The sequence below is a fragment of the Homo sapiens genome, chromosome 3 (assembly GCF_000001405.40).
Source record: "Homo sapiens chromosome 3, GRCh38.p14 Primary Assembly".
Lineage (NCBI taxonomy): Eukaryota > Metazoa > Chordata > Mammalia > Primates > Hominidae > Homo > Homo sapiens.
This window is the reverse complement of record NC_000003.12, coordinates 91,422,116-91,438,798: the sequence shown is the minus strand read 5'-3', so window position 1 is coordinate 91,438,798 and position 16,683 is coordinate 91,422,116. Positions and strand designations below refer to the sequence as shown.

Here is a 16,683-nt window from a genome sequence, read left to right as displayed (position 1 = left end):
TGAAATAACTATCCACTTGACTTCTGGAAACCTTAGTTTCCTCATTTATAAAATACAGATATCTAATTTGCATACCTTACAGTTAGTGAAAAGTCCAGGAAGAATCATCTTGTTAAACACTAAAGATCTGTAGAAATGTAAGCTACTGTTGTTGAAACATCACTAAGTGTTACCCTGGTTTTTTTTGTTTTTGTTTTTGTTTTTCTTTTTCTTTTTGCTAATAACAGTAGTGCATTTGTACGCAATTCCCCATTAGGAATTTAGAAATTTTATTTATTAAATATCTGACTGAATATAATAGATATAGTTAGAATGATGCAAATCACAGAGCCCCAGGTGACAAATAGCCCTCAAATCTTGTTTTCTGAGTCTATTTGGGTATAGTGAAAAAGATGAAACAAACCCACTAGCCAGCCTACCTCCAGTATTCCTGAACAGATAGCTCTCCATTTTCCTCTGATGATTATGGCAGAGCCTTTGATACACAGCTGACCTTTCTTTTGATCTATTGACATCACTGAAAGTGTTCTGCTTAATGAGTGGCCACATCAGTTTACATAAGGTTATTCTATTTAATACTTATTCTATGGATTTTTGGCATTTCACTATTTCCTTTCCATTTTCTGAAAACAATGTGGTCGATGAAAATTTTAAAACTGTGTCTTGACCTTGCCCCACGGGAAATTTGAGAAAGAAATTCTGTATACTCTGGAGTCCAGAACTGAAAATGTTCTCCATGACTTCAGGGGAAGAGATTAAGAAATGAAGATGAAGAACATGTGTCCTGCTTTTTTGGATGGAACCTTCATAATAGGTGAAATTTTTACAATTTTTAACACCTTTTCAGGGGAACTCCCAGGAGTCTTCAGAGATATATTTGATTATAAAATGAACTATTTTATAAATTTCACCTTTCAAAAATGGCACAAACTAGTTTCTACAAATTTTATACACATAATTGTAGCATATAATACATTCTTACAGTTTAGTCTACAAAGAGACTGAGGTAACCTATAATTGCCTAACATAATTCAGCTAGTAGGTGGCAGAGTTAGAACCAAAATCTGTGTTATCTCTGTAACACCTTGCTGCTTCACAAGCCTGTGAAAAGTTCTCACCGATGAGAAATGAATTAACTCTTACAGAGCAGAAAAAGGAATATTTAATACACCATAGGAGGTAATTGGCTGAATTAGAATAACAAAAGCAATGTTTTCCAGCTGTGTTACAGACTTCAAATTGCTTAACTGATTTTTTTAAGCTCCAATGAGGAGTTAGAGACAGTAACTAGATGCAGGTTTTTCTAATGAAGAAGCTGGAGGCAAAACGTAAGTAATTTAAGTAATATTAAACAACACACCGGGTCTGACCTACTCAAGATAGCTTTTCCTAGTTAATAGTAAAACTGACAACCTTGGTAATGTTAGTAACTCTAAAGTATTGAGTGCTTACTATTTTTTACAGAAAAGCGGAGCTGTACATTACACTAGTTAAAGTGGTAAAAACAGATTGTATTCAGGAACTACTGTAATAGGGGAAGAGAGACCTTAGTATAGAACAGGGTTCAATTCTGAATACAGCATAGACCAATGGGGATTTATAGCCAAAGAGCAAGATGGCATTAATGGATGAAAAATTACGGAGATGAAAGAAACTTAAGGAGTGGGGAGATTGTGGTTAAGCCAACCTAAAATGATTCTTGCTCAAGACAGGCTGAGTATTGAGATACCAAGGCGGGTGTTGGAGAGTGCAGGGATGCGGAATTTGATTAGATACTGAGGGTGATCAAATATTGAAGGTGAACAGATAGTGAGGGTAGGGGATTCTCTCTAAACTGACTGCAAGATTCTTACTACAACTGTGCTATGCAAAATTGAAACCAAAGATTAAGGTCTAGTTGAGAAGAGGATTCCAAGGAGCCTGACTTAAGTTTGGCCAAGGAAGGCATCTTGTCAGTTGCTCCTTTTGTTTGAGGAAATAAGCATTATTCTCTTCTCTCAGCAATCTAAGTCCATCTTGTGTTCAGTTCCTTTTCAGTAAAGACGAGCTGAACCATCTGTTGAGACTTCTTAATGTCTTGAGATCATGGGTAGAACTTATGCCCAGTTCGTGTAGCTGTTCTTTCTAAGTCACCACCTGAGTAACCAAGATCACCTACAACAGACCTGCAATGTTCTGGATACCTCTTTTGCTCTCATAGTGAGAGTGAGGTCAACTGGAGGGAGTGGGTGATTGTTTTAGAGATAACTTTAAAAAAGGAAAGAAATTGTGGGGAATCAAGTAGATGAAGGGATTAGTAAGATTAGAGAGGTAGCAAGATCCATTCCAGTTGGCTGGTAACAGCTAATAGGTTTGAGTTCCACAGACAGAATAAGAATCATTGAGCGCTAGCCTGGAGTCATAAGATAATTATCTGATGGCTGAAGGTGACCAAAGAATAAACATTTCGATGATTGAGAAAGGATTTTTTGGAGGTGGTCTGTGTGTGGTTGGGTTGGGTGAGAGAAATTAGGCTGAGAGGGGAAGTGGGGACATTTCCATTCGTATGAGAGATGTCCAGGAACCTGTAGTGGCTTGGAGGCATTATGTTACATTTAATGATGGCTGGAGAAGTGTAATGACAAATGCTTGTTCCCAGAAAAGAATTGATGGTAAAATTATGATGCGAGTGGACATGACCCTTGCAAGGATAGACTGGAGCATATTCAGAGGTTTTTCTCACAATGGGTATTTGTCTGGTTTAAAATGGTGTAAGAAAGGAGAGGGAAGGTATAGCAAAATAGGAATTCTGATTTCTCACAGGAATCTTGGAAATGCCAGATGTGCCCACAGGAAAGGAAGCACAGTACCCTCAGTCTGTGGCGTTATGGGAAGTGGTGACTAGTCCAGCCCAGGCTTGCCAAAGGCTCTGTGGATGAATAGTCTTGCTAACAGATAAGGAAAAGGCAGAGCTGGGCGAGAACAAGGAGCTCCTAAATTTAGGGACAGAAAAATGTAAGAGAAGACTAATCTCAGATGAGGAAAAGTCATAGTGAAGGCTGTGAACCTTAAAGGCAATCATCAGTCTATGAGAAATTAGGTACCCACATCCTACAATAGCCCACAAGATCCAAAAACCTCTGTTATTTTGTTTCAGGAAGAGGAAAATGATGAATAGTAGAAGCTCTGCCTGTGAAGATAATTTTACCTGCAGCTGAAATACCATGACCCAGATATTGAACACACAGAATAATTAAACTTTTCCTCTAGAAACTTTGTGGTCTTTTCTTGCCATTGCCTTAAAGTATTCAGTGTCCTAAAGGGAGTTGTCATAACTGAAAGTGCATAGAAAGAGGTCATTTACATATTGGATTACAGTGGAGTCTTCTGGGAATTTTAAGTCCATCAAATAGGTTCATGAGAAATATGTAGGGCCATAGTAAATCGTTGGGGCATAACAGTCCAGGTGTATTGTTTATTTTCCCAGGTGAAGGCAAAGTAGTGAGATTCTTTATGAGGGGAATATTATAAAAGGCAGAACACAGCCGAGAGCGGTGGCTCATGCCTGTAATTTCAGCACTTTGGGAGGCTGAGGCAGGCTGATCACAAGGTCAGGAGATCGAGACCATCTTGGCTAACATGGTGAAACCCCGTCTCTACTAAAAATACAAAAAATTAGCTGGGCGTGGTGGTGGATGCCTGTAGTCCCAGCTACTTGGGAGGCTGAGGTAGGAGAATGGCGTGAACCTGGGAGGCAGAGCTTTCAGTGAGCTGAGATCAAGCCACTGTACTCCAGCCTGGGCGACAGAGTGAGACTCTGTCTCAAAAAAAAAAAAAAAGGCAGAACACAAATGAATCACCATGAAATATTGCATGTTGGAAGAGATAACAGACAGATAGTGTTAGGATTAGGCACCAAGGGAAATCTTGATTTGACAGTGTAATTGATAGATCCCAGGAAGGAACTGATATCCTTTCTCACTTGACTTTTTAATAGCCAAATGGGAGTAATGCATGGATTAGAAGTGGGGTCTTATGTCTAATAAGCCTCTCATTATCAGGGAGAGCAACTTCTAGTCCTTGTGGTTTTAAACGATATTGGGGAATCCTGGGGAGAGGCTTGGAAGGATCTGTTTCTACCTTATATGGGTTCTGTATCGCATATACCTTAGATAATTTTAATAGTTTGCTTAAATCTTTATTTAAGTAGATAGGTTGAAGTGGGCAAAGGAACTCTCTGCTTAGGGGAAGTCAGACAAAACCATTAGGGGACATAGACATGAAGAGGAAGACTCAGGGGTGGGTAGAAGCAGTCCAGCAGGAATTTTTGTACCTCCATTCATGAGAAGATACTTTCCACACAAGTTTACTGGGGTAGTGGAGCTGAGTAGAAAATTATGTTGACCTTTAAGAGGTCCCTTAGAGATATGAGGATGAGCTGGGGGCAAAGCATCAAAACCCACCACTGGTAAAGTTTGGTGACTGTGGGGAAGGGGGCAGGAAGTGAGGTCACGTTGAGGGTAGAATGTGTTGTCCTGGTATCGATGAGAGACGTGGAGGCCCTTTAACTTGTAGCATTATTTCTTCATGCAAGTTTAGTAGTAGTTGAGGGCATTGGGACATTTGCTTCTCTGGAGGAAAATAGACAGTTCTCTGGTGAGGAGGGGGACTTGGGTTTTTCCCTCCTCTTGAGCATTGGGCAATTCCAGGCCCAGTGTCTTTTTTCCTCACGATATCAGCACATTGTTGAGATCAATGGGAGCCTTCCATTGTGGAGCTTGCTGTGAGTTAAAAATTTCAGGTTTTTCCAGTTGTTTTAACTGCAGTGCCACAAGCTTACATTGTATATTTTCCAATGTTTTTGAAATACTATTTTCATATTATTGGGCTAATGTCTGGAGCCTAGACGTGTATACATTTTGTTAATTAATATTATTTTTCTGTAATGTGTCATGGAGGTCTGGCCTGAAACTATTTACAAAGATTGCATGGCCTGAGCAGAGGCTGTTTGGAAAGTCAGTTCCACCCCTGAATTCTCTTTCCATGTTGTCTTTAATTGATGGTGATAGCCACAGTTTCATCAGTTTGTTATTTACAATGTTAGATATGTGACCAATCAATTTTAATGGGAGAGATTTGATGGATGGCTCCTAGTAATTTCTTACTTCCCTCGGGGTATCAGGGGTAGCCTGAGACCCTTGTGCACCCAAGGAAGGAACTGAGGTTCATCAGAAATAGTGGTCCATTTAGCTTTTTCAAAGCAAAGGGAGGCATTTCCAGGCCCAACCAACAGGCAGATAAGTTGATTTAAATCACGGAATCCCAGAAAGTATGCACCTAGAATGATTCTAAATTGTTCAACAAACCTTTCCCTTTCCTTTCTGTGGTCAGGAAAGTATTTGGTGATAGGATGCAATTCAGACCTAGACCAAGGTTTAAATGTTCTCTCTTCTATTAGCCTCACTTGGGAACAGGTACTGGCTGATCCTGGGCTTCATCTGAAGGAGATGGAGGCCAGTGAACCTTTTGGTTACAGGGAGGTGAGGGACTGGAGGAGGGGGCAGATGGTGGAAGAGAGTTTGGGAGAGGAGGCTATAAAGGAAAGCTGGGAGGGGAATATGGAGGTGCTGTTGAGAGCTCTAGGAACTTTACTGAGTCAGAAAAATTTTTCTACAGACAGTGCGAAAGAGCCTCAGTAGTTTGACTGAGATTTGAATTATTTAGCTGTTTTTTGGCTTCTTAATACCAAGTGAAATAAGCAGACCGCTGTGCATCCAAAAGCTTTGTTCCTTTTTGCTCTAGGGCTGTTTTTAGATGGACTAATTTAGGGATATACGAGGAGCCCCCACCATAGCTGAAGAGAGTTTTTGGTAAGGCTTTGCCAGTGAGAAAGCAAGCAGACAGTATTAGAACTATAGTGGCAAAGCAGGAGTTTGATAAAGTGAGGTTTCAATTGAGAAGTTCCCATGGGAGAAGCAGGATTAAACAGACAGAAGAGAGAGGCCTTATAAAGAGCAGGGAAAAAATTCCAGCCCAGGCACTGGGGAGTGGATCCCCACTGGAAACAAAGAGCCAGGAAAAGTCTTCATCCCAGGAGACAAAGATCCAGGAAGAATTTTCCAGCCAAGAGCCAGGCTCAGGAGTCAGGGAGTAAATGTCTTCTTGACGCAGTGAGCCCCAGAAAGAAAGACGTCTAGCTGAGTAGATGCCTTTCAAACAAAGAAGTCTGGGCCTCTAATCCAGCTTCAGACAATGTAATCAGAATCTTAATCAAAATCTTTCCTCACTGTGATTCGATGGACATTTATCTGGAGCACTGGATATTGGAGTCACTCACCACCAGATACCCAAAAAGCAAGCAGACTGAAGACAAAGTCTTGGTGTATGCTTAGAGATTGGTTATTGTGTCCAAGAGTCTAATGGTGGTTCAGATCCAGATCTGAATCATGGACGAAAAACTGTTAAAGAAAAATAAGAGATAGTAGTTAAAATGGTAAAAACAGATTTTATTCAGGAAAAGCTGCAATAGAAGAAGGGATTCCAGTATAGAACTGGGCTTAATTCCATATAGAGAGCATGCACAAGTGGGGATTCCTAATTCCAAATAGCATGGTCAAGAGAGCAGGGATGGGGGTCAGTGGATGAAAAATTACTAAGAGGAAAGAAACATCACAGGTAAGGCGATTCTGGTTAAACAGAACTAACAGGATCCTTGCTGCAGGTTGGCCAGGGTGATAAGATACCAAGGGTGGCAGTGAGGAATTTGATCAGATATTGAGGGTGATTTCAATATCTGGGGAGTTCTTTCTCAACTGACCTTGTAAGATTCCTGTTACAACTGGGTGATGTAAAGAGGAACACAGAAATCCAAAGCTCTAGGCCTAGTTGAGATGAGGTTCAGAAGAGCCTGACTAAAGTTTGGTCAAGGAGAGCATTTTATCACTGTGTGCAGGACGCTATACCAAGTACTTTATGAAAATGAGCTAACTTAATCCCCAAGTCAACCCTATGTGATAGATATAACTCCTTTTTTACATAAAAGAGAATTGTTGCAAAGAAGTTAAGTAAACTGTCCAAGGTCACACAGCTAGCATGTATTAGAGACAATATTTAAACTTGAGTATCTGACTTCAACCATTAGTATTTACTGCCTCCTGGACTCCTTGGGGCCTCCACATCTCCTTTGGTGTGTTGTTTGGTTAGAATATGTGTGATGTTTCAATGATCTCTAAGAGTTAAACTGTGTTTGAAGTTAAGAGTTAAAGGGAAGTATTTGGATCTATAGGTGACTGATTACAAATTTAGTTTAATAGATAGTAATTGAGTAATTTAGTTACATAAGAATTTAAAAGGGGGCACCATATATTAAATGCCTATAACATCACTCTGGTTATTAAAATTATACATTAGACTTTAAGGTAGTGACTCAAGACAACATAATCAATAGGTCAAAAAATTATCACAAGAATGTGTGCTAAGAAAAGGCCATAAGATGGTTTCATGCCCTTTTCCTCCTGATAGGTTCACTTATATGTGTGACCCTGATGCTGAGCTTGAGTTTCTGTTAGTACTTATGATAACTAATCTTCATAGGACCTGCTTCTAATGATTTTGGTATCCTAAATTCTGGGCACTGGTGAGTAATAATGAGGTCACTTTGTAGTTTAGCAGACTCTCACTTTGTTTCTTTTAATATGGAAATTAGAGTTCCAAGTTCTTGAAGGTAAGAAACACCTGCCACTAAAAAGAAGGTTAAAATGTCCTCCTGAAGAAATGTTGTATCTGGCTGTTATTAAAAAGCCAAAAATTAATGGATGATGGCGAGATTGTGGAGAAAAGGGAATCCTTACACACTGCTGGCGAGAATGCAAATCAGTTCAGCCCCTGAGGAAATCCCCAGTTTGGAGATTTCTCAAACTAAAATAGAATTACCATTCCACCCAGGAATCCCATTACTAGGTATATACTCAAAGGAAAATAAATTGTTCTACCAAAAAGACACCTGCACTTTTATGTTTATCACAGCACTATTCACAATAGCAAAGATATGAAATCAACCCAGGTACCCATCAAAGGTGAATTAGATAAAGAAAATATGGTACATATACACGAAGGAATACTACACAGCCATAAAAAGAACAAAATCATGTCCTTTGCAGCAGCATGGATGCAGCTGGAGGTCGTTAACCTAAGTGAATTAACACAGGAACAGAAAATCAAATACTGCATGTTCTCACTTATAAGTAGGAGCTAAACACTGGGTACGCATGGACATAAATATGGGAAAAATAGACACTGAGGACCTAGAGCCAGGAGAGAGGGAAAAGAAGAAGGGTTGAAAAACTACTTATTGGGTACTTTGTTCACTACTTGGGTGATGGGATCATTAAAAGCCCTAACAGCTTCACACAATATAATGGTATAACAAACCTGCATGTGTAATAAATTTAAAAATTAAAAATTTTTAAATGCCATATCCTTATGCTGATTTCTGTGAACATATACATGGCTCTTTTGCCTCATTTAGGTCAAGAAGATGTTCCTTTTTGAATACAAATCTCTCTCTAAAGGATACTTTTTAACCATTCTCACTTTATTGTTCAAGCCGACCTTGTATAGTGAAGTTTTTGTTGCTTTGAAAATAGGAGTAGTAGGCCAGGCGTGATGGCTCACGCCTGTAATCTCAGCACTTTGGGAGGCTGAGGTGGGTGGATCACCTGAGGTTAAGAGTTCGAGACAAGCCTGGCCAACATGCAACATGGTCTTTACTAAAAATACGAAAATTAGCTGGGCGTGGTGGAGGGCACTTGTAATCCCAGCTACTCAGGAGGCTGAGGCAGGAGAATGGCTTGAACCTGGGAGGTGGAGGTCTCAGTGAACCAAGATCACACCACTGCACTCCAGCTTGGGTGACAGAGTAAGACTCTGTCTCAAAAAAAAAAAAAAAAAAAATAGGAGTAATATTTAGTCTGTGTTTTTTTCCTTGTAGAAAAGACTTTATTCTAAGGAAGACCATGCAATGCACTGTCCATGTCAGCAAAGAGATGTTTATACCATAGTGTTTGAATAGATTTGGGCATAAATACTTTAAAAAATATAATAAGGTCACTAGACCCTGGGTGGGCTTGGGATAGAAGACAAAGTTGCGAAAGAGGCTCTGAGAACAGAGTTGGAACTAGATAAAGGTGTGCCTGCTTTACAGTTTTTCTTGAGTTCATCATTTAACACAATGCCTCTGAAAGTAACTTACTGCTGTCTTTGATAGGAATGCATATTGGTGTATTGCCAGTGCCACAGCTGGGATGTCTGGACTAATTTTGAAGGTTGCAAACTGCCACGTACCCACCTTCAGACCTGTCTTGACTTTCTGGCCTTTCCCCACACTGAATGAATGGAGTGGGAGGGAAGAGCCTAGACAGAAACATATGTTTTCTATTTATTTCTTCCTACTTCTTTTTTTTTTTTGAGATGGAGTTTCGCTTTTGTCACCCAGGCTGGAGTGCAGTGGTGCAATCTTGGCTCACTGCAACCTCTGCCTCCCGGGTTCAAGTGATTCTCCTGCCTTAGCCTCCTGAGTAGCTGGGATTACAGGCATGCACCACCACACCCAGCTAATTTTTGTATTATTATTAGAGATGGGGTTTTACCATGTTGGCCAGGCTGGTCTCGAACTCCTGACCTCAAGTGATCCACCCGCCTCGGCCTCCCAAAGTACTGGTGTGAGCCACCATGCCCGGCCTTCCTACCTCTTTTCATACCCAATGCTTAGAGGTTTTCCTTTGAGTTGTGGATATGAAGACCTATAAAGTATTTGCTAAAAAATATCTCCAAGTAAATACAGTCTCTGTACAATATTTCTTGAATTTGTAAATTTGAAAACCAGAGATGACAATTTGTTTGGTAAATACATGGATAGTTTGAAAGCTTAGTAAGATCCAAGTTTCATTTATTTTTATTTTTTTCTTGTTTCCAGTAGGCTTGGAAGAGTCCAAATTTTAGACATGTATACAAAGGCAGTACATGAATTGGAAAGAAGAGGGAAGTTAATACTTCTAGCTTTTCTCTTTTAGAGAGATTAGCTTTCTATTATTTTAACAGAATAGCTTACCAAAATGTTCTTTCCCTATTTTGTGATGAACATAACTGAAATCTTGTATCTAATTAAATTCAATTCCTACCTAAAAGTTTTCACAAAAAAGATTATAGTTCATGTTTATGACTAAAGAAACAAACAGAAGTTGTTTATAAAGTGTTTGGTGGAAATTTTAATGTCCTTGTTTTCACCAGTTAAATTAATGATGGCTTGAAAGTCTTTCTTCTTTCTTGAAAGTTTTCTTTTCTTTGAAATGCTATTTGTTTTTCTGGTTATTGGTTACTTGTGGACAGATAGCAGTTGTGAAGACATAAACTACCGATTGTTAAAAATTTCAGCATTCTCTTTTTAAAAGAAATCGGCAAGCCAATTCTAAAATTTATATGGAAATGCAAGGACGTAGAATAGCCAAAATAATCTTGAAAATGAACAAAGTAGGACTCACTTACCTTTGAAAGTTACTCTAAAGCTATTGTAATCAAGACTGTGTTATTGGCAAAAGGACAGATATATAGATCAATGGGATCCAGTTGGATCTGATCCAGTCAGATCCAGTTCCAAAAATAGAACTACACATATGTGGTCAAATTTGATGAGGATGCTGACGTGATTTAATGGGAAAAAGAAAGTGTCTTCAACATATGGTGTTCGGAAAGGTGTTTTTCCACATGCAGAATAAAAAGGACTTTGATTCCTACCTTACACCACAGACAAAAATTAACTTGAGATGAATCAGGACCTAGACTTAAAAGCTAAAACATTACAATTTCTAAAGGACAACATAAAAATATCTTTGCAATTTATCTTAGGACACAGAGAGCACTACCATTAAAAAGTTGATAAATTGGACTTCATCAAAAATAAAAACACCTGCTCATCAGAAGATAACGTCAAGTAGATAAGCCTTTGTTACAATTATATTTGACAAAAGGCTTGTGTCCAGAATATATAAAGAATTATTCAATTATTAAAAGAAGGCAATCAACATTTTTAAATGGGCAAAAGATTTGAACAGACATTTCATAAAATAAGGAATATCACTGGTCAAAAAGCACATGAAAAAGTGCTCATGATCATTAGTCATCAGGGAAATGCAAAGTGAGATGCCACTGGCTACCCACCAGAATGGCTAAAATTAGCAAGATTGATCATACCAAATGTTGGGGAGAATGTAGAACTGTCAGTGATTGCTGGTGGGGGTATAAAATAGTACAACTACTCTGGAAAATGTTTGGCAGCAATTCCACTTCTATGTACTTATCCCAGAGAAATGAAAATATATACCTACAAAAGTCATATGTAAGAATGTTCATGGCCACTTGATTGAGAATAACCAAAAACTGTAAAAGCCCAGTGTGTATGGTAGGAAAAAACCAATTTTCTCCTACTGTACTCTTAACACAAAGGGTATAGTGACCAGATGTGTGGATTTTTCTCACACTGACCAATTCTCTGATGCTAGCCGGATAGCCTATATTCAATTCACTTCTGACACTAACTAGAGCTCATGCAGATCTCTCATGGATTAAGAGCTCAGTCTCACAAGACTGTGCCCTACTTCATATACCAATTGCAAGCAGTAGGTTCCCAGGTCACCACAACTTCTGACCAGTTTGGTCACAAGTGGGAGGTTACCACAACCCCCTTCTCAGGTTCAGTAATGTGCTAGAGCAGCTCATAGAACTCAGGGAAACACTTATATTTATCAGTTTATTATAAAGGATTGTTTTAAGGGATACAGGTGAACAGACAAAGAAGTACTCTGGGTAAGATATGTAGGAAGCGGCATGGACCTTCCATGCCCTCTCTGGGTGTTCCACCCTCCTATCATCTCCATGTCTTCAGCATCCCAGATGCTTTCTAAACCCTGTAGTTTAGGGATTTTTATGGAGGCTTCATCATACAGGCTGAGCATTTATTAACTCATTTTTCAGCCCCCTCCTTTTCCTGGACGATGGCATAGTGTGTCTGAAAGTTCCAGGCTTCTAATTATGGCTTGGTCTTTCTGGTGACCAGCCCCCATCCAGGAGCCCACCAAGAGTCACCTCATTAGAACAAAAGACACTCTTATCAATGCCCAGGAAGTTCCAAGGGATTAGCAACTCTGTTAGAAACTGGCGCCACAGACCAAATATTAGAACAAAAGATGCACCTAGCATCCCTCTTGCTCAGGAAATTACAAGAGTTTTGGGAACTCTCTGCGAGGAACCAGGGTCAGGGATCAAATACACATTTCTTATTGTATCACAATATCACATCCAGGTGCCCATCAGCAAGAGCCTAGACAAGCAATCTGGTATATCCATACAGTAGAACACTGCTCGGCAATAAAAAAGAACAAATTGCTGATACATGTAATGGCAAGGATAAATCTCAGAAGCATTAAAGGACATGAAAGAAGCCAGACACAAAATACTTTATACCGTATGATTCCATTGATATAAAGTTATAGAATAGTTAAAACTAATCTGTGGTAACAAAAATCGGATCAGTAGTTGCTTCTGGTTGTGGAGGGAGGGGAATGTTGACTGAGAAGAAGCAAGAGGGAATTCTACAGGTTGATAGAAATGTTCTATCTTCTGGTAGGGGTGTGGGTTATATAGGTATAGTCACTTACCCAAACTGATCAAACTATAGACTTAAGATATCTGCATTTCACTATATTTAAATTATAACCTCAAATTAAAAAATCTCACACAAAAAATAGCAAGGTATTTTCCTATCTCTTATTCTGACTCTCTTTCTTATTCTCTTAAAGTATTGGACAGCCCAGTCCCACTATACTGAGGCAATTTTTGAAAGAAAATAAAATTTATTACTTTTATTATCTTTTAATGTATCCACTATACTCTATATAGGGCATCATTTAAACTCTTTTTCAGTCTTTGTTGTTGTTGTTACAGTGAAGAAGAAAAGCTATCCAGAAGAACAAAATAGCACAGCCGTGTAAACTTGCAATGATTTGGCAAGTTTTTGAAGTTATTTAATCCTGATAAGTTAAAATCCCTTGAAGCATATTTATACATTCATCTTTCCAGACAGCTACTGCTTATTTGCTCTTTCATTCAAGTGAAGGTTATTGAGCACCTCCTATGAGTAGATGTTTTATCAGATACTGAGTAGGCATGCTACGATGAGTACGCAACCAAGTCCCTGCCCTTAACAACATTCCTAGTTTAGAAGTGATAAATACAAAACTAAATTCCATTGCAACAAGAAAGGTACAGCACTGTACAAACTGCTGCTGTGCATTCTTTTGAGGAAGCAATGTCTTCTGCCTTGGGTGCTTGGGAAGATTCCACAGAGGAAGTGACATTTGAGCCAGTTTGTATGAATAGTTAGAGTTGTGGATAGGAGTTGGAAGAAGGGGGACATTTTAAGAAGATGACTAGAAGTGTAATTGAATAGTTTAGTGAGTCTTTTATTCTCCCTAAACCTTTAGGTAAAGGTTCTGTTAGTATCTACTGAAATAGAAGTCTTTTGCAGTAGCATAGTCAGTGTTTAAACTAGGACACCAAATATTTTCCGGTTTTTCCCTCACCAATAGCAGCTAATATTTATTGAGAACAAAGGATGTGACAGGTACTCTGCTTAATGTTTTAATTTAATTTAATATAATCTCCATAGCAATTTAATGCATTAATATTACTGTCCCTATAGATTAGGAAAATTGAGGATTGAAGTAATACCCTTTATAAGTGGACAAGCTGGGGATTCTTTCCCAGGTTTCTTTGCCTCCCAAGCCTGGGATCTTTAAAATGCCTACTCTGTGTGTGTTGCTCTTAGTATGAGCCCAGAGAAAGCAAGCCAAGGCAACTCTGAAGTGTCTTGCAGTCACTTAAAAGAGGGGGGATTTACCTGTTTTCCAAAATATGGCCTGCCCACCTTTTGTATTTAAGTTTCAGTTCATTGCCAATATGTATAATTATTTATAAACTCAAAATAATCTGTTTTATTTTTATTTCTATCTACATGATACTTTAATTTCATGTATGAAAAATTGCCAAGTAATCATTCTCTAAGCTTTCTACAGTATCCATTTTATAAGTTAAAGAATCATAGCAGTAAAAACTATAAGCTCTTTATAGCCATTTCACTCTAATTATTAGAGTGAGAACCTTGAAGATTTTGCCCTTTGAAAATGACTTGTTATTTGGGCAATCTGGCTTCTCACTATTTAACAAGTGTTGCTTAATGTACCATGTAGGAACATTTGATGTGCTCCACAGCCACTCACAGCTTCTGATAATTCTGTTTGTGCCAGCCTTGAGAGATCACTGAGTGGTAGTTTAAGATTGTGCTCCAGTATAAAAGTGGCAAGGTTTGTCTTTTAAACAAACATGTATTTTTTTCAGAGTAGAAGATAAATTTTTGACTAAATCAGTCATTTGCCGTACTCTAAAATTCATTTTAGAAACTTGGTTTTAGGTTTGTAGTTTTTGCCCAAATGACCACTTAACATGGGACACCCACCCTAACCCCTACCTCTTTCCCAGGAAAATTAGATTTTTGTCCAAGATTCCACCAGTATTGAATATTTGCTCTTGCCAGATATCTTGTCAAAGGTACATTGTCTGCTTTTGGTTGACCAATGGGGTATGGGTTGTTATGCCAGATGAGTGTCACCTAGTAGTGGAATTAGAAAATCATCAACCAAGGGCCCGACATAGTGGCTCACATCTGCAATCCCAGGGCTTTAGTAGGCCAAGGTGGGAGGATTGCTTGAGCCCAGGAGTTTGAGACCAGCCTGGGCAACATAGCAAGACCTTGTCTGGTGACACACACCTGTAGTCCTAGTCACCCAGGAGGCTGAGGTGGGAAGATCACTTGAGCCCAGGAGTTCTATGAGCTGCTCTAGCACATTACTGAACCTGAGAAGGGGGTTCTGGTAACCTCCCACTTGTGGCCAAACTGGTCAGAAGTTGTGGTGACTTGGGAACCTACTGCTTGCAATTGGTATATGAAGTAGGGCACAGTCTTGTGAGACTGAGCTCTTAATCCATGAGAGATCTGCATGAGCTCTAGTTAGTGTCAGAAGTGAATTGAATATAGCCCACACTCTTTCTGTAATACCACACTTCCTTAGTAATAAGAAATAACAAAATATTTAAAAGTAATAACTTCCAGTTAAATCTTTTTAGGACATAACTTCTCTCTTTCAGACTCCGTTTTAAATGATACTTCATTTTGTGGTCCAAAATCTCTTCTTCCTACATATTTCAATAGCATTTTACCTATACTTATACCTAGACCTCTCTAGAAGATTTATCTTCATAACATATTTGATTTTTATAGCACTTTACTTCTTTTATGACACATTATCATGTTATTTTCTATTAATCACGCATTCACATAGTTGATTAGTTCCTCCAGGACCATAAACTCCTTGAGGTAAGATCTGTCTATTGGATCTTTGCACCCACCTCAGTACCAGCATGCATGAAGAAAAAAGTGTGAAGTACTCCTTGGTCTACTATAGCATTAGGAAGCTATCAACCCATTATTCTGCTTCCATTAAATGTTTTCCAATGCATGATGGTTAGTGACTTTTTAAATTTAATTCTTAATTTTTCTTAGAGTCAGAATATTGCTCTGTTGCCCTGACTGCAATGCCACGATCATAGCTCACTGCCTCAGGCTCCTGAGTAGCTGAGACGACAGGTGCATGCCACCACACACAGCTAATATTTCATTTTTTTGTAGAGTTGGGTTTTGGAATCAGACTTGTCTGTACATGTCTACCATTTAATAACTGTCATGCATCACATTGCTTCATACTTTGAACTTCAGTTTTCTCAAGTGTAGCATCATAGAGGAGTTGTGATTATCTAAATGATTAAATGGGATTACACTTTTAAAAGCTCCTACAAAATGCCTGGCACCTGGTCACTTTTCATTATATGCTGGTTCCTTTTGTTCTCCTGTCTGACCCAGTTCAAAGTCCCTTCTGTCCCATTAGCTTGTTTTATGAACATGGAGGCAAGGATTCTGGGTAGGAGGCAGTTGTAGTACTTCATTCATTAAGCATTTGCTGACTACTTTGTATAGTGGAAATCCAGAGGAAGGGATTGTTATTATTATTATTGTTATTATATTTTGAGACCGGGTCTCACTATGTTGCCCAGGCTGAAGTACAGTGGCACAATCATGGCTCACTGCAGCCTCAACCCCCCAGCCCAAGTGATAATTCTACCTCAGGCTCCTGAGTAGCTGAGACGACAGGTGCATGCCACCACACCCAGCTAATATTTAATTTTTTTGTAGAGATGGGTCTCACTGTGTTGCCCAGGCTGGTCTTGAACTCCTGGGCTCAAGCGATCCTCTCGTCTAAGCCTCCTGAAGTGCTGGGATTACAGGCATGAGCCACTGCACCTGGCCTAGGATTAACTATTTTATAGGCATTTAGGAAGTAGAATGGGTTAGATACAGGAATTCAGGGAGAATTAGGGGAAGGTGGATAGAAAAGAGGCTAAACTGATTTTCTTCTATAATCTTTGGAATCAAACGAAGAAGGGCAAATTGATTATTCTTCTCAGGAAAAGATTTACTTTATCTTTAAACGTATAGGTAACATTAGCTGTCTTCTACCTGATAAATTTGTTTTCTATAAG

At 39.0% G+C, this 16,683-nt stretch overlaps 1 pseudogene across 1 annotated transcript in view, besides 1 other annotated feature; it reads left to right on the top strand.

Annotated features, from left to right (window-relative positions):
• LOC101930420 (DNA primase large subunit-like) overlaps positions 1 to 16,683 on the top strand; it is a 139,540-nt pseudogene that overhangs the window by 74,977 nt on the left and 47,880 nt on the right. The window lies entirely within an intron of this gene.
• Positions 1 to 16,683: part of a centromere (Linear centromere model derived predominantly from reads generated in PMID: 17803354. This region does not represent an actual centromere sequence, as long-range ordering of repeats and unmapped WGS contigs is not provided by the model. For details of model production, see http://arxiv.org/abs/1307.0035.) that runs on past both edges of the window.